The sequence below is a fragment of the Homo sapiens genome, chromosome 1, assembly GCF_000001405.40.
Source record: "Homo sapiens chromosome 1, GRCh38.p14 Primary Assembly".
NCBI lineage: Eukaryota > Metazoa > Chordata > Mammalia > Primates > Hominidae > Homo > Homo sapiens.
Window position 1 is genome coordinate 26173510 of NC_000001.11, and position 16523 is coordinate 26190032.

Consider the following 16523-nt stretch of genomic DNA (forward strand, 5'->3'; position numbering starts at 1 on the left):
TGGTTTACGCCTGTAATCCCAGCACTTTGAGAGGCCGAGGCAAGGAGATCACTTGAGGTCAGGAGTTTGAGACCAGCCTGGTCAACATGGTGAAACCCCATCTCTACTAAAAATACAAAATTAGCCGAGCATGGTGGCACACGCCTGTAATCCCAGCTACTTGGGAGGCAGAGGCAGGAGAATAGCTTGAACCTGGGAGGCGGAGGTTGCAGTGAGCCAAGATCATGCCATTGCACTCCAGCCTGGGCAACAAGAGCAAAGCTCTGTCTCAAAAAAATAGATAAAAATAAATAGAAGCTGCCACTTACTGTGTTCCTAACTGCCTAACCCTGGCAGATGCTGGGAGCGTAGAGTAAAGGCGCCGTGGTTCAGGGAGAGAGGGGGCTGGTTCTCACCTCTGGTGGCAGCTCAGGAAAGATATTTGATGAAATCAAGATCTGTCTACCGAACACTGATAAAGGCTCTATTAGAATTTACTGGACTTCCCCAGAGTGCCACAGGGAGGCTGCTGCATGAAGAGGCAAAAATGTTAAACGAGGATGCAGCACGGAGTGTTCAAGGGACACAGACCTGAGGCAAAAGACAAAGCTGGAGACGGGCATTTTGCAAATTTGAAGCCAACTGGCTCACAAAATGAAAGAGGCTGTTAATACCAAGTGTGAAGGTGGGATGGCATCACCAGAGCTGGCCAAGTTCAGAGAAGCTGGAAATCTCAATTTGGATGTGACGTTATTAAATGATGACAACACACGTACACTACATGGGCCAACCATGGGCGAAATTCAGACTTTGGGTCTCTGGGTTACAGGTAAGGTCGTGACAGGCTTTGATGACTGGGGGTGCTGCAGAAATTCTGAAGTAGGTGACAACAGGTAGCTCCTCCCCACAGAATTAAAGCAATAATAACTCATATCTACCCCATGATACAGATTTCAAAGTACTTAATGTCATCACAGTGCTAAGGCCTAGGAATCCCCTTCTGGAGACAAAGAAACAGATTCAGAGAGCTGTAGAAGTTGGGCTGAGTCACATAGCAGTTGAGTATGGAACTGATTTTATCTGATTTTTTTTTTTTTTGAGACAGAGTTTTGCTCTTGTTGCCCAGGTTGGAGTGCAGTGGCGCAATCTCGGCTCACTGCAACCTCTGCTTCCGGGTTCAAGCAATTCTCCTGTCTCAGCCTTCCGAGTTGCTGGGATTATAGGCGCCCGCCACCACGACCGGCTAATTTTTTGGATTTTTAGTACAGACAGGGCTTCTCTATGTTGGCCAGGCTGATCTCGAACTCCTGACCTCAGATGATCCACCCGCCTTGGCCTCCCAAAGTGCTGGGATTACAGGCATGAGCCACCGCGCCCGGCCTTTTTTTTTTTGAGGTGGAGTTTCACTTTTGTTGCCCAGGCTGGAGTGCAATGACGCGATCTCAGCTCACCGCTACCTCTACCTCATGAGTTCAAGCAATTCTCCTGCCTCAGCCTCCCGAGTACCTGGGATTACAGGCATGTGCCACCACACCCGGCTAATTTTGTATTTTTAGTAGAGATGGGGTTGCTCCATGTTGGTCAGGCTGGTCTCGAACTCCTGACCTCAGGTGATCCGCCCGCATAGGTCTCCTGAAGTGCTGGGATTACAGGCCTGAGCCACCACGCCCGGCTGATTTTATCTGATTCTAAAGTCCTGGGAGTCCCCTGACCTGATGATGATGATGAAAATGAACATTTACTATGTGTCAGATATTTTTCTAAGATTAAAGCTCTTGCTCTGAGGTTCAGAATTCAGGGGATCCATAAACTTGGATGGGAAAAAATTATATTTTTATTTTTGCTAAACTCTAACCAAAATTTATGATTTCCTTCTATATGGATTGAAGCAGTAGCAGTATCTTTGGCTTAGTCACCAATAGAAATCACATATTTTCATATCAAATTGTAGTTATTGCAAGTATCTCAAAATATTTATGCTCAAGTGATTTCAAAATCACAGTGGTTGTTAAACCACCACTAAATTGTTCGTGAGCAACTTCTGTTTCAGATGCTCCTGTGATGTAGCCGCCATTAATTGGTTACCTCCAGGCTTAGCAGTGGTTCAGTGACCAAAGGGCGAATCTGCCTGTTCTGAGTAGGGCTTCTCCACTCTTCTGCATTCCCTGTCTTTTTTTTTTTTTTTTTGAGACGAAGTCTTGCTCTGTCGCCCAGGCTAGAGTGCAGTGGCGCGAACTCGGCTCACTGCAAGCTCTGCCTCCTGGGTTCACGCCATTCTCCTGCCTCAGCCTCCTGAGTAGCTGGGACTACAGGCGCCCGCCACCATGCCTGGCTAATTTTTTGTATTTTTAGTAGAGACGGGGTTTCACCATGTTAGCCAGGATGGTCTCGATCTCCTGACCTCATAATCCGCCCGTCTCGATTATAGGCGTGAGCCACCATGCCCGGCCCAGCATTCCCTGTTTTTAGTTGTTTGCTGATCAATATGTAAGAGGAGGGGCGTCAAAGACCACCCCACAGTTTAATGTCCTTATTCAAGCTGGTCGACAACACACTGAGGTCATTAAAAAAGAAAAATTTAACTTTCGGCCAGTCTTATTAATGTTAGTAAACACATAATATAAATTTCTGGTTTTATTTTTTTGAGATGGGCTCCTGCTATGTTGCCCAGGGTGGCTTTGACTCCTGGGCTTGAGTGATACTCCCCCGCTCAACCTCTCAACCTCTCGAGTAGCTGGGACTACAGTCGTGTGCCAGCACTCCCCAGCTCCAAATTTTTTTTTTGTTTTTTGTGGGTTTTTTTTTTGAGACGGAGTCTTGCTTTGTTGCCAGGCTGGAGTGCAGAGGCGTGATCTCAGCTCACTGCAACCTCCGCCTCCCAGGTTCAAGCGATTCTCCTGCCTCAGCCTCCTGAGTAGCTGTGACTACAGGCGTGCACCACCACACCCAGCTAATTTTTGTATTTTTAGTAGAGACGGGGTTTCACCATGTTGGGCAGGCTGGTTTCCATCTCTTAACCTCATGATCCACCCGCCTTGGCCTTCCAAAGTGCTGGAATTACAGGCGTGAACCACCATGCCCGGCCAAATTTGTTTTTAAATATAGTTTTGATAATTGTTCTCATTGTAATCCTAAGCATTTTGTTTTGTGCATTTATTTATTTATTTATAATACAGAGTTTTGCTCTGTTGCCCAGGCTGGAGTGCAGTGGCACGATCTTGGCTCACTGGAACCTCCCCCTCCTGGGTTCAAGGGATTCTCCTGCCTCAGCCTCCTGAGTAGCTGGGATTACAAGCACCCACTACGCCCAGCTAATTTTTTGTATTTTTAGTAGAGATGGTGTTTCACCATATTGGCCAGGCTGGTCTTGAACTCCTGATCTCAAGTGATCCGCCCACCTCGGCCTCCCAAAGTGCTGGGATTACAGGCGTGAGCCACCGCGCCCGGCCTGTTTTATGCCTTTATAAGCAGCTATTCTGAGAAAGCATTCACAGGCCTCACCAGATGCCAGAGTCCATACTGCAAAATCCAAGGGAGGCTAAACACCCCAGTTCTAAATGTTTTCAAGCCATTCAGATACTGTGCACAGCTGCCCTTTGAAGTACGGTCTATTATATCTCTTTTACAGACCCAGAAACTGAGGCGCAGAAGTTAGGGTCAGCCCCAGGTCACACAGCTAACAAGAGCTGGCCTAGGCACCCAGGGACCTGGCCCCCTAGCCTCTGTGCTTTGCTACTGATTTCAGCGCTCCTCTTGTGGCTTTTTCTTGAGGAGCCCAAGGGTCAGGGTCCCACCCCGCGATATGAGGCCAGTGGCACTGCCCCCTAGCAGGCGCGAGATGCCAGAGCCCTAGGATGTCTGAAGGGCCGGGCAGGAGGCGGACGGGCGTGGGCCAATGGCTGTCGCAGTGCCTCATCTTGCCGTCTGTGTGAGCCCAGGTATGCAGTAGGCTCCGCCCAGGACCCAGCCCGGCCCCTCCTTAGGCCTGGGCTCTGGGAGCGGAAATTCCGGCGACAGCAGGGCAAAACAGGAGCTGATTCGAGCTGGCAGAGCTGGGCCATGGAACCGGTAGAGACCTGGACCCCCGGAAAGGTGGCAACTTGGCTGAGAGGTGGGTGGGGCTGGGGTAGAGTTGGGCTTGAAGGGGACTAGGTGTGGTGTCCCACCGGGAAGCGGGAGGAGAGGAAAAGGAAAAAAAATCTGCGGACTGGGTGCGCTGGTTCACACCTGTAATCCCAGCACTTTGGGAAGCCAAGGTGGGTGGGTCACCTGAGGTCGGGAGTTCAAGACCAGCATGGTGAAACCCCGTCTCTACTAAAAATACAAAAATTATCTGGGGGTGGTGGCAGGTGCCTGTAATCCCAGCTACTTGGGAGGCTGAGGCAGGAGAATCGCTTGAACCCAGGAGGCAGAGGTTACAGTGAGCCGAGATTGCACCGCTGCACTCCAGTCTGGACGACAGAGCGAGATTCAGCTCAAAAGAAAAAAAAAAATAATAAACTGCGGGCTCTATCAGTCGGTCAGTCAGTCAACAAATATTTACAGAGCACCTAACATGTTCCAGGAACCGTGCTGGGCAGAGAGACAGATGAGATGACCCTGGGGGGCCCAAGGACCCAGAAGGGGGCCCCTCATCATGGCAGTAGCCCAAGAGGCCTCTAGGGTGATAATGGGGAGGCGGTGTCATGAAAACAGGAGGGAGGCCTGACAGGCCCACACCCACTGTATCTCCTTCATCTTCCCTGGCCCCAGGGCCAGTGGGCTGTTGTTAAATCCGTTTCTTAGAGTCAGAAACTGACACACAGAGCCAGGAAATGATTTGCTCAGTCTCTGGTGTCATTTTCCCCGCTCCACACCCTGAGCTCCTAGTGACAGAAGCAGAAGCCCTAGGCCAGACTGAAGAGGTTGACACAGCCCCACCCTGGGGCTCCTATCCAAGGGGCAAGGTGCTGTCCAGGCTCAGCGAGCCCACACAGATGGGAAGCAACACACCCCACAGGCAGACTCAGAGAAGGAAGGGCCTCCTGACACACAGTGCGACCAGGAGCAGGCAGTCAGGACACCCCTCCCAGAGTGGGGAGCTGGAGCGCACTAGAGACAGGCTCAGGAGGACCAGCCCGGGTAAGGGCAGGAATTCAGGGCTGGGTTCAGACTCCCAGGCTGGATTCCAGGCCCACCCCCACCGCTTGCCAGCTCTGTGACCATAGGTCTTAGTTTTTCTGTCCATCAAATGGGAAAGGCAACTCTGACCTTATGAAGTCGACAAAGTGAGACAATCATGACATAGTTCATTTGTAGCTCAATGCCTGGGTCTATTGGGAGGGCACCAGCCCAATACAGTCACCGTGCAGGAAGGAGGTGGCTCAGGGGCCCATAGCCAGGGAGTGATAGGTTCATGAACTCCCAGTCCAGTGCTCTCAATGTGACACAGGGAACACACACACACACCTCCCCCAGTGAAGGAGCCTGGCTTAGAAGGGGAAGAATTCCTTCGAAGAGTGAGCAAGCTACTTAACCTCTGTGTCAGTTTTCCCATCTGTAAGCAGGATAATGATAGTCTTTACCTCCTAGAAATGCAGTGAGAATCAAATGTGTTAATATGTGTAAAGCTCTTATAGATTTGCATAGCACATAGTAAGCCCTCAATAGACACTTTTCTTATTTTTCAGTGCCTACCTTGTCCAGGCACAGGCCGGGGGTTAGAGACAAATGGTTATCTAAGGCCTGATCTTTGAAGAGCCTGTGATAAAATGGGAAAGACCGATGGTCAAGTGCAGGGGTTTGTGGAGGCTCAGGGGCAGTGGGAACAAGAGGAGAGCCCTCCATCCCACTCAGCCTGGGAAGTTATGGAAGGCTTCCTGGAGGAAGTTAGATGAAAAAGGAAGTGAAGGAGATAGAAGAGCAACGCCAGCAGGAGGAATAGCACTTGCAAGGACGCTGAGGTAAAAGGGTGTTCCAGGAGCTGCAAGGAATTAGCTCTGTGCATCTGAAATGTTGAGTTTAGGGGGCTCTTCAGGATATGATGCTGGAAAGGGAGGTAGTAGCCTAATCATACAGGGCCTGTAGGTCATGGTAAAGTCTGGCAATAATAATATGATGGCTATTATTGGCTGTCTCCCACGAACCAGACAGTGGCCAAGGCCTTGACATATGTTGTGTCATTCAATACACACATGATTAGAAGGTAGGTACTTTTATTATTCTCACATTACAGGTGAGAAAACTGGGCACAGAGCAGTGCTATTACTTGCTCAAGTGTTCACAGTGTCTCAGTGACTCCATAGCCTCTTGTTCTTATCCCCTGTATCATTAGTTCTCAAACTTAAGGGAGCATCACAGTCACCTGCATTAAAATACAAACTGCTGGCTGGGCGTCGTGGCTCACACCTGTAATTCTAGCACTTTCAGAGACTGAGGCAGTCAAATTGCTTGAGCCCAGGAGTTCGAGACTAGCCTGGGCAACATGGTGAAATCCCACCTCTGCAAAAAATACAAAAATTAGCTGGGTGTGGTGGTGTGTGCCTGTAGTCCCAGCTACTTGGGAGGCTGAGGTGGGAGGATGGATTGAGCCTAGGAGGTCAAGGCTGCAGTGAGCCGTGACTGTGTCTCAAGCCCCTGTCTCAAAAAGAAAAAACAAAACAAAAACAAAAAAAAGACTGCTGGGCCCCAACCTCAGAGTTTCTGATTCAGCAGGTGTGGGGTGAGGCCTGATAATTTGCATTTCTAACAAGTTCTCCGGTGAGTCTGCTGCTGCTGGTCTGGGGGCCACTTTTAAGAACCCATGTCCTATACTTTCCTGCTTCTCAACTCAGTGGCCTCATCTGTGAAATGGGCAGAACAGCCTGGGTGTCAGAGTTGTCATTAGGGTTAGACTAGAGGGAAAAGAGCTTTGCAGGCATGAAGAACCATCCCAAAAGGTCCTGACACCTCTGCTTCCCCGAGCTGAGCCTTACTCTCCCTCCAGGTCTTGACGACTCCCTGCAGGACTATCCCTTTGAGGACTGGCAGCTGCCTGGCAAGAACCTGCTCCAGCTCTGCCCCCAAAGCCTCGAGGCTCTGGCTGTGCGGTCTCTGGGACACCAGGAGCTCATCCTGGGCGGGGTGGAACAGCTCCAGGCCCTGGTGAGTGAATGCTGGTCACACTGGCTGCAGCTTCCACCAACCTGGGGGGTGTGATGGGGGGCTGGCTGCTGCCAGGGAGGTGACTTGCCCTCTTTCTGGCACAGAGCTCCAGGCTACAGACAGAGAACCTGCAAAGCCTGACAGAGGGACTTCTGGGGGCAACCCATGACTTCCAGAGCATAGTCCAAGGCTGCCTGGGGGACTGTGCCAAGACCCCTATTGATGTCCTCTGTGCAGCTGTGGAGCTGTTGCATGAAGCTGACGCCCTCCTCTTCTGGCTCAGCAGGTACCCGGGTTGGGGTGACGAGTGAGGGACTATTGTCATCCTTGGCCTCCTTCAGGGCGTGGGAGAGAAAAACAGATCTTGGCTCTTGTTCAGATATGGTGAGCCAGGCGTGGTGGCTTAGGTCTGTAATCCCAGCACTTTGGGAGGCCGAAGCGGGCAGATCACTTGAGGTCAGGAGTTGGAGACCAGCCTGGCCAACATGGTGAAACCCCATCTTTACCAAAAATATACAAAATTAGCCAGGTGTGGTGGTGCGCACCTGTAATCCCAGCTACTGGGGAGGCTGAGGCAGGAGAATCACTCAAACCTGGGAGGTGGAAGTTCCAGTGAGCCGAGATCATGCCACTGTACTCCAGCCTGGGCGACAGAGTGAGACTCCCTCTCAAAAAAAAAAAAAAAAAAAAAAAAGATATGGTGGAGCAGGGCAGAGGGATTAATCCACCTGTGCAGGGGCACTGGGATGCCAGAGTTCCCACCCCACCCTCCAGCTTGTAATAATCGATCTCATCAACAACCACTGAATGGAGAGCCTCCCCAACCCTGTGCACTGGCTGCTGCTTGTCCTACAGACCCCACCTCAAATGTCATCTCGGGGAAGCCTTCCCTGTTGTACACTCTCCAAGCTATACTATTAATAAATAATAAATAATAACTTATTATAAACTCATTATCCAATGTTTCATGATACTCATTACAGCCAAAGTTAAATTGATATTGATGTATGATGTCTTTACTGTCTGTTTCCCCAGTGCCTAGAACAGGGCTTGGCATGTGGTAGGCACATGACAAATAAGTCCTGTGCTAATCTCTTTAGATGTCTCAATCATCTCCTTTACTCTAAACCAAAACCCATCAGAGCAGGTATTATCCCCAAGTCTCTGAGGTGAGTAATTGGTGAGTAATTGGCTCTGAGTGGTTAAGCATAGTCCCTTAACCACTGTGCTATTCTTCCCCTGCCAGGTACCTCTTCTCCCACTTAAATGATTTCTCAGCATGCCAGGAGATCCGAGACTTGTTGGAGGAGCTGAGCCAGGTCTTGCATGAGGTAGGAGAACCAAGGGCCAGGCTTGGCCCATGCCCTAGAGACCAAGCTGGGCTAGAGCTTTTTATAACCTGTGAATCAGCCCAGGATCGAGTATGAGGATTGAGACGGGCGAGAAAGGAGGAGAGGAGGCCCTGCCACTGGGTATGGGACAATGGGGCCTGGGGTCCCCTAGCTGGCAGGGGAATTTTGACACTCAGGACAGGGAAGGAGGGGAGGGCACGTGTGGTGACTTCTGGGGGCCTGGTATCAGGGAAACGAGCCCTCTGGTTAAAACGCTGAGGCCCTGTGGTTCTGGGCAGGGGGCCAGTGTAGGGAAGGCAGGGAGGGACTGTACGGAATCCCACCCTGCCCCCAGGAGAAGGCAGTCCCCTTATGGCCCTTGCTCAGGGGAGGCCCCTGCTCTCTCATTCTACTTCCAGGATGGTCCAGCGGCTGAGAAGGAGGGCACAGTCCTGAGGATCGTGAGTCTGTGGGGTGGGAAGAGAGTGGGGGTAGGGGCGATCGGGCTCAGGCTACATAGCCCGCTCCCCTCCCCCAGTGCAGCCACGTGGCTGGGATCTGCCACAACATCCTGGTCTGCTGCCCCAAGGAGCTGCTGGAACAGAAGGCCGTGCTCGAGCAGGTGCAGCTGGACAGTCCATTGGTGAGCCCTGCCCTCCCACCTCTCACTTCTGACCCCTTGGCAGCCTTGTCTGGGCCCTGAAATAGGGTCCAGGATCCCACAGAACCCTGTGCTGCCATGGCTGGAAAGCCTTTTTTGTACAGATGCTAAAATGGAGGCCCAGAGGATTGGCCAGGGTCTCCCGTTGCTCTGCACCTCCCCAGTCCTGAGGGGCCACGCGGGTGTGGCCTCAGGTAGTGTGTTCCAGCCTTGGGATGGAGACGGGGCAGGGGCTTGGGGGCAGTTAGGAGAAAGGGAGAGGATGTGACCTTTCTTGGTTTAATCTTTGACCAGTGGGGAAGACCAGAGCCCTATCCCTGCCCTGTCCCTGCTTGTCCCTTTAGGAATGTTGCTGAGAAGCTGGTACCTCAGAAATCAGGGTCTCCAGCTTCCCTCTGGCTCTTAGCAGAGGAGAAGGCAGAGGCCCACAGGAGTAGCAAGTCCAAAGTCATACAGCAAGTCTGGGCAGGACCAGCTTGGGGTCAGCTCTTGCCACAGTTCCACCCACCATAGAGTCCTGGTGTCTGGCGGGGGTCCTGCCTATTGGCCCTGTTGCCCCCCAGCCCCCGGTGACTATAGCCTCTGCCTCTGCAGGGCCTAGAAATTCACACCACCAGCAATTGCCAGCACTTTGTGTCCCAAGTGGACACCCAGGTGAGAGCCCCACACCCTTCTCAGCCGCCCATCCCCGAGGCCTCTCACCTGCAAGCCAGGCCAACCTCAGGCCCCATTCCCCACGTCAGGTTCCCACTGACTCCCGACTGCAGATCCAGCCTGGAGACGAGGTTGTCCAGATCAACGAGCAGGTGGTGGTGCGTGAGGAGAGGGACATGGTAGGAGGTGAAGGGGTCACCGAGTGGAACCCAAGTCTGGTGGGTGGGGAGGCAACCAAGGGTTCTGACCAGGGTTGTGGGAGCTGCCTTCCAGGAGATGAGCCAGCTAAGTCTGGTGAGAGCATCCTCTGCAGAGCCCAGGTGATGGGGCCCATGGAAGCCCCCAGGAGGCTGCATGAGTGGGAGGCAGAAGTGGGAGGCTGAGAGAGAGCTCCCAGCACGAGGGTGAGAGTTGGTGGTTGCTTTAGAGCCTCCTGCCCAGGTTGATACCAGCCAGTGTTTCTGTCCCCCAGGTGGGATGGCCCCGTAAGAACATGGTGAGGGAACTGCTGCGGGAGCCAGCCGGACTCAGCTTAGTGCTGAAGAAGATCCCGATACCGGAGACCCCCCCACAGGTACCTTCCCCTGCCGCCCCCCGACCTGCCTTCAGACCCCCCCCTCCACAGGTACCTGCCCCCACCACCCCCACACCTGCCTTCAGACCCCCCCCAACAGGCACCTTCCCCTGCTGCGCCCCCCTAGCTCCCTTCAGACCCCCCCACAGGTACCTGCTCCTGCTGCTCCCCTACCCCTGTTGCCCCCCAACCTGCTTTCAGACCCCTGTCTCCATTGCTTTGTTCCTGGTTGTTCCCCAGACGCCCCCTCAGGTCCTGGACTCCCCGCACCAGAGGAGCCCATCACTGTCTCTGGCCCCACTGTCTCCCAGGTAACAGGCTCTGTCCAGGTGTGTCTTGGTGGGGAGACCGTGGGCTCATCTCATCCCCCTTGCCCTCCCCAGGGCCCCATCTGAAGACGTCTTTGCCTTTGACCTGTCTTCAAACCCCAGTCCCGGACCCAGCCCTGCCTGGACAGGTAGTCTCAAAGCTCCATGGATGCCCCGGACACGGCATCTGGGCACCCAGTTCTGACCCCAAGCCTGGGACTGGGCTCATAGACTTTCCCTCTCTCTCCTCCCTCCCTGACAGACTCTGCCTCCCTTGGCCCTGAGCCCCTGCCCATCCCCCCGGAACCCCCAGCCATACTCCCAGCAGGGGTAGCAGGGACTCCAGGGCTCCCTGAATCCCCTGACAAGGTAAGCTCAGGGGCTTAGCAAGGGGGTGGGTGGGTCTGGACCTAGATCCTTCTCTCACCCTTCTGCTGTCCTTTCAGAGTCCTGTTGGTCGGAAGAAATCAAAAGGTATGAGGTGCGCTGGACTAGGTGGGGGTTCCCCTGTTTGAGGAGCTGTTAAAAATCTTTACATGCTGGGCAAGACCACCCCCATCCTTCCCACACAGCCTCTCCTGGAAACAGCTCTGTTTCTAGGGTCAGACAGAGCTGTGCTCCCAGTCTGGGCCTCTCACCAGACTAGAGGCTAACCTGTTTGCTGTGACTGAGCAAACAGGTTAGCCTCTAGTCTTCAGTTTGCTCATCTCTAAAATAAGAAGGGTCATCCCACCTCAGAGATGACACATGTAGCATTCTGAGCAGAGTGTGGGTTCAGAGATCTCACTTGGGGATGCTTGTGGAAGGCAGGGAGTAGGTTTAGCGGGGGCACCTTGCCAGCCCCTCACTGCCCAGCTTGTGCTGTGCTGCTACAGGCCTGGCGACCCGGCTGAGCCGCCGGCGGGTGTCATGCCGTGAGCTGGGCCGGCCGGACTGTGACGGCTGGCTCCTGTTGCGAAAGGCACCGGGCGGCTTCATGGGCCCGCGCTGGCGCCGCCGCTGGTTTGTGCTCAAGGGACACACGCTCTACTGGTACCGCCAGCCCCAGGTAAGACCCCATACACAAAAACAGGTAGGCAAGTGAGTCACTTCCAGGCCTCGATTCTCATCTCTATTCTATCATCCACTCTTATTCCTGGTCCAAGGCTTTGATGTCCCCATCTGTAAAATGGGGACTTTATTCAGAGAGAAATGAGTTAATATATGTATAAAAGCAGTTTGGAAAAGGTATCATAGGAGGTATAGAGAAAAATCTTTTTTTTTTTTTTTTTGGAGACAAAGTCTCACTCTGTTGCCCAGGCCGGAGTGCAGTGGCATCATCTCGGCTCACTGCAAGCTCTACCTTCCGGGTTCACGCCATTCTCCTGCCTCAGCCTCCCGAGCAGCTGGAACTACAGGCGCCCGCCACAACGCCCAGCATATTTTTTGTGTTTTTAGTAGAGACAGGGTTTCACCGTGTTAGCCAGGATGGTCTCGATCTCCTGACCTCGTGATCCACCTGCCTCGGCCTCCCAAAGTGCTGGGATTACAGGCGTGAGCCACCACACCCGGCCCTGAAAAATCTGGGCAACATAGCAAGATGGAGTCTTGCTATGTTGCCCAGCCTTGTCTCAAACTCCTGGGCTCAAGCGTTCTGCCTGCTTCAGCCCGCCAGAATGCTGGGATTATAGGCGTGAGCCACCACATCTGGCCGAAAAATCACGTCTATTCTGCCCACTTCTCCTTATCCTTCTGATATTCTGTCCATCCGAATGATGGGCCATTCATTTACTCATTTATTCATTCAGGATTCAGGTGCCTACTGTGAACCCAGCTCTAGGCTGGGCACTATGGACACAGAGAAGAATTGGATGATTTTTGCTTCTCCAGAACTTAGAGGCTAGTAGGGGAGAGGGATGAATACACACTCAAGGACAATGTAGGGACCGTGTGCTAAGATAAAGGGAAAGCCCAAGGGATATGTGGGAGCACAGCAGAGGTGTCCAGTCCATCCTGAGGAGTCCAGATGCCCCCTGACAATGCAATACCTGGCAGTTAGTTGCATGGGAAGGGGAAAGAAAACCAGGAAGAGAAAGCAGCATTCAGAAAGCTCAGGGGTGTGAAGCAGTTTGGTTTGTGTCTACTGAAGGAACAAATGCATGAGCAAGCTCTTCTTGTTTGGTTTTTTGGTTTTTGTTTTTGAGACAGAGTCTTGCTTTGTCACCCAGGCTGGAGGGCAGTGGCATGATCTCAGCTCACTACAGCCTCAGCCTCCCAGGTTCAAGCGATCCTCCTGCCTCAGCCTCCTGAGTAGCTGGGACTACAGGCACATGCCACCATGCCTAGCTAAGTTTTTTGTTTGTTTTGTTTTGTTTGAGACGCAGTCTCGCTCTGTTGCCCAGGCTGGAGTGCAGTGGCGCAATCGCAGCTCATGGCAACCTTTTCCTCCCAGGTTCGAGCAATTCTCCTACTTCAGCCTCCCGAGTAGCTGGGATTACAGGCACCTGCCACCATGCCTGGCTAATTTTTTGTATTTTTAGTAGAGATGGGGTTTCACCATGTTGGCCAGGCTGGTCTCGAACTCCTGACCTCATGATCTGCCCGCCTCAGCCTCCCAAAGTGCTGGGATTACAGGTGTGAGCCACCACACCCGACCTAAGTTTTTAATTTTTTGTAGAAATGGGCTTTTTTCCCAGTCTGGTCTCAAACTCCTAGGCTCAAATGGTCCTCCTGCCTTGGCCTCCCAAAGTGCTGGGATTACAGGCATGAGCCACCATGCCCGGCCTTCAGGCTCCTCTTTTTTTTTTTTTTGGCTGTTTCTCTGATATCTTTGGCTCCCCTTTCCTGGCTTAGAGGCATCCTTTGGCCACATCTCCTACCCTGACCCCAGATTCCAGCCCTGAGCTCCAGAAACAGAGAGACTTGTTAGAGAGCCCAGGAGATGCCTTCTCCTCTCCACAACTCTCAGGAGCCCGAGGGGTAACTAGGAGCTGACTGGGCCTTGAGGGTATTGGGGTTCCAACCTGACCCTCATGCTGTGATCCCCCCAGGATGAGAAGGCTGAGGGCCTCATCAATGTCTCCAACTATAGTCTGGAAAGTGGACATGATCAGAAGAAGAAATAGTTAAGTCTTGGGGTGTGATGGGCTGGGGGATGGAGACAGAAAGGGAGAGGAAGGGTGATGGGGTAGCAGTGGGAGGTGTGGCAAGTGGCTGGGGCGCCCAGAATCCAGCCTCTCTGGGCTGTGGGTGGGCACGCCCAGGCTGAGTGATGCTCCTCCACTACCTGGCAGTGTGTTTCAGCTCACCCATGATGTGTACAAACCCTTCATCTTCGCTGCTGATACCCTGACAGATCTGAGCATGTGAGTGCCGCCTCCCTTAGCCCCTACTCTCATATGATTCCCAAACTCTGTGAGCTTGGGAGCCTAGGCTCAGGAGCCTGGAGATACAAATTCCAGCTCTCTGAGAGTGGTTGGTCAAGATACTCACTTCTCTTTCTCTTTTTTTTTTTTTTTTTTTTGAGACAGAGTCTCACTATGTCACCCAGGCTGGAGTGCAGTGGCGTGATCTTGGCTCACTGCAATCTCCGCCTCCTGGGCTCAAGTGATTCTCCTGCCTCAGCTTCCTAGGTAGCTGAGACTACAGGTGCCTACCACCATACCCGGCTAATTTTTGTATTTTTAGTAGAGAGGGGGTTTCACTATGTTGGCCAGGCTGGTCTTGAACTCCTGACCTTGTGATCCGCCTGCCTCGGCCTCCCAAAGAGCTGGGATTACAGGTGTGAGCCACTGCACCCGGCATCTCTCTTTTTTTTTAATTAAAAAGTTTTGTGGGGAGATGGGTTTGCCCTAGCTGGTCTCAAACACTTGGCCTCAAGCAATCCTCCTGCCTCAGCTTCCCAAAGTGCTGGGGTGACAGACGCGAGCCACCGCACGCAGCCAGTACTCACTTCTCTAAGCCTCAGTTTCATCATCTATAAAATGGGTGACTAAGAGTTCATCCCTCTCAGAGTTGCTCTGAGGATCATTAGAAGATGATGTGGGTAAAAAGCCCCCAGCATACAAGAGGGCCCCAGTGGATGGAAACCCTGTGAGACCTGCTTGCTCTCCATAGGTGGGTGCGTCATCTCATTACCTGCATCTCCAAGTACCAGTCTCCAGGCCGGGCCCCCCCACCCCGAGAGGAAGGTAGGTGTCTCGCAGGGTTGAGTGGGAGGAACCCTCACCTGAGCCTGTGCCTTTCCTGGGATGGGGGCTAGGAACTCAAATGCCCTAGGCCACTCCCTGGCCTCCCAAAAACCCACTGCTGCTCCTCACCCCAGACTGCTACAGTGAGACCGAAGCAGAGGACCCGGACGATGAGGCTGGGTCCCACTCAGCCTCGGTGAGTGGGGGGCTGCCGGGGGTAGGAGGTGGGGATAAACAACAGGGCGTGGAGCTCAGACAGAAACCCTCTGTGCTTTCCACCCTGCCTGCAGCCCAGCCCTGCTCAAGCTGGGAGTCCCCTCCATGGAGACACATCACCTGCAGCCACCCCCACACAGCGCAGCCCACGGACCTCCTTTGGCTCTCTGACAGGTGCTGGGCTGGAGTTGGGAGCTGGGCTGGGGGCTGGGGTGGGCACATCCTCATCCTGCTCTTCCCTCCCACAGACAGCAGTGAAGAGGCACTGGAAGGAATGGTACGGGGGCTGAGGCAGGGTGGCGTGTCCCTCCTAGGCCAGCCACAGCCCCTGACCCAGGAACAGTGGCGGAGCTCTTTCATGCGGCGCAACCGAGACCCTCAGCTCAATGAGCGAGTGCACCGTGTGCGGGCGCTACAGAGCACACTCAAGGTCAGCTGGGGGGCTCTGGGCACAGCAAGGGACTAGGCTCTGGGCTTCAGGCTTTGGTTTGCGGCTGTCACCTCCACCCTGGGCACCAGACTCCAGACTCCAGACTCAGCTCCGGACCCTGGGCTTAGCAGCTGACAGCGGGCTCAGCTGTGGACTGGGCCAGGCTCTGGGTTCCGAGTGGGGATTTGAGTCTCACCTAGGCTCCTCGTGCCACGCTGGCCAGGTGCTGGCTTCCAGGCACCGGACCTCCGGAGTGAAGTCTGGCCTCGGGCTCTGCCCACTTCCCTGGGTGATCATGGTCCCTTAGCCCCTCCTCTCCACACAGGCAAAGCTGCAGGAGCTGCAGGTCCTAGAAGAAGTGCTGGGTGACCCTGAGCTGACAGGAGAGAAGTTCCGCCAGTGGAAGGAGCAGAACCGGGAGCTGTACTCAGAGGGCCTGGGGGCCTGGGGAGTGGCACAGGCTGAAGGCAGCTCCCACATCTTGACCTCTGACTCCACAGAACAGTCCCCCCACTCCCTGCCCTCTGACCCTGAAGAGCACTCCCATCTCTGCCCCCTGACCTCAGAGAGCAGCCTCCGACCTCCTGACCTCTGACCCTGGCCAGCACTCTAGCTCCTGACCTTTGACCCGAGGGCCACCTCAACCCCAGCTTCTGACGTGTCCAGGACAGAGCATCCCTGGATTCTGTTCAGGGTGGGAAGTAGTACTGCTAGTCATGGTCTCACCCCGAGCTGACCCCTCTGCCTGGGCTTTGTGCCACCCTCTCCCTTGCCAAAGAAGAAACTCTCCCCCCAAATCCTCCAACCTCTGGGGCCACAGCCCTGCCCCTCCAGTTCCTTGGCAGTTCTCCCCCAAACCAGGTCTGTACAGGTGTTCTTTATTTTACATGAGGGCTACTTTCCAACCAAATAAAGTCAATTTTTCTAAGAATGAGTCTACATGTAACTTTACTTCCATATTCGAATTGGAAATCTGCCCCCCTGTGGGGACTGGGGTGAGTGCTCTTGGCCAGAGGGTGGGTGGCAGACCCTTCGTGCAGCCCGTTGGCCTGGGCTCTGTACCCGAGCTCCAAGCCTGC

The 16523-nt window shown here is 53.6% G+C and overlaps 1 protein-coding gene across 3 annotated transcripts, besides 1 other annotated feature; it reads left to right on the forward strand.

The window, feature by feature from the left end:
• CNKSR1 (connector enhancer of kinase suppressor of Ras 1) lies at positions 3982-16375 on the forward strand. 3 transcript variants are annotated; one of them, NM_001297647.2, is made up of 21 exons: positions 3982-4090; positions 6944-7101; positions 7206-7387; positions 8348-8432; positions 8852-8893; positions 8971-9075; positions 9688-9747; positions 9837-9926; positions 10220-10321; positions 10562-10632; positions 10705-10778; positions 10892-10998; positions 11076-11103; positions 11505-11677; positions 13659-13732; positions 13902-13973; positions 14725-14798; positions 14933-14994; positions 15089-15188; positions 15263-15444; positions 15770-16375. In NM_001297647.2, the coding sequence occupies exons 1-21, from the start codon at positions 4039-4041 to the stop codon at positions 16037-16039; spliced, it is 2163 nt and encodes a 720-aa protein (NP_001284576.1). In that variant the 5' UTR covers positions 3982-4038; the 3' UTR covers positions 16040-16375. The 3 variants fall into 3 exon arrangements, with proteins under 3 accessions (NP_001284576.1, NP_006305.2, NP_001284577.1); NM_006314.3 differs by having other exon boundaries at positions 9837-9905; NM_001297648.2 differs by having other exon boundaries at positions 8976-9075; positions 9837-9905.
• Positions 8561-9062: an enhancer, noted in NCBI's record as "H3K4me1 hESC enhancer chr1:26508561-26509062 (GRCh37/hg19 assembly coordinates)". NCBI's record gives its function as "activates a minimal SCP1, AML or CMV promoter by ChIP-STARR-seq in primed H9 embryonic stem cells {active_cell/tissue: H9 hESC(primed)}" and the evidence as "EXISTENCE:reporter gene assay evidence [ECO:0000049][PMID:30033119]".

Excerpts from the sequence above, each read along its gene's own strand:
- CNKSR1 (NM_001297647.2), top strand. The coding sequence starts at position 4,039 with ATGGAACCGGTAGAGACCTGGACCCCCGGAAAGGTGGCAACTTGGCTG. Across the intron at positions 7,388-8,347 it reads CTCCTCTTCTGGCTCAGCAG|GTACCTCTTCTCCCACTTAA; the intron begins GTACCCGGGTTG and ends TTCCCCTGCCAG. Across the intron at positions 14,995-15,088 it reads CTGGGTCCCACTCAGCCTCG|CCCAGCCCTGCTCAAGCTGG; the intron begins GTGAGTGGGGGG and ends CCCTGCCTGCAG.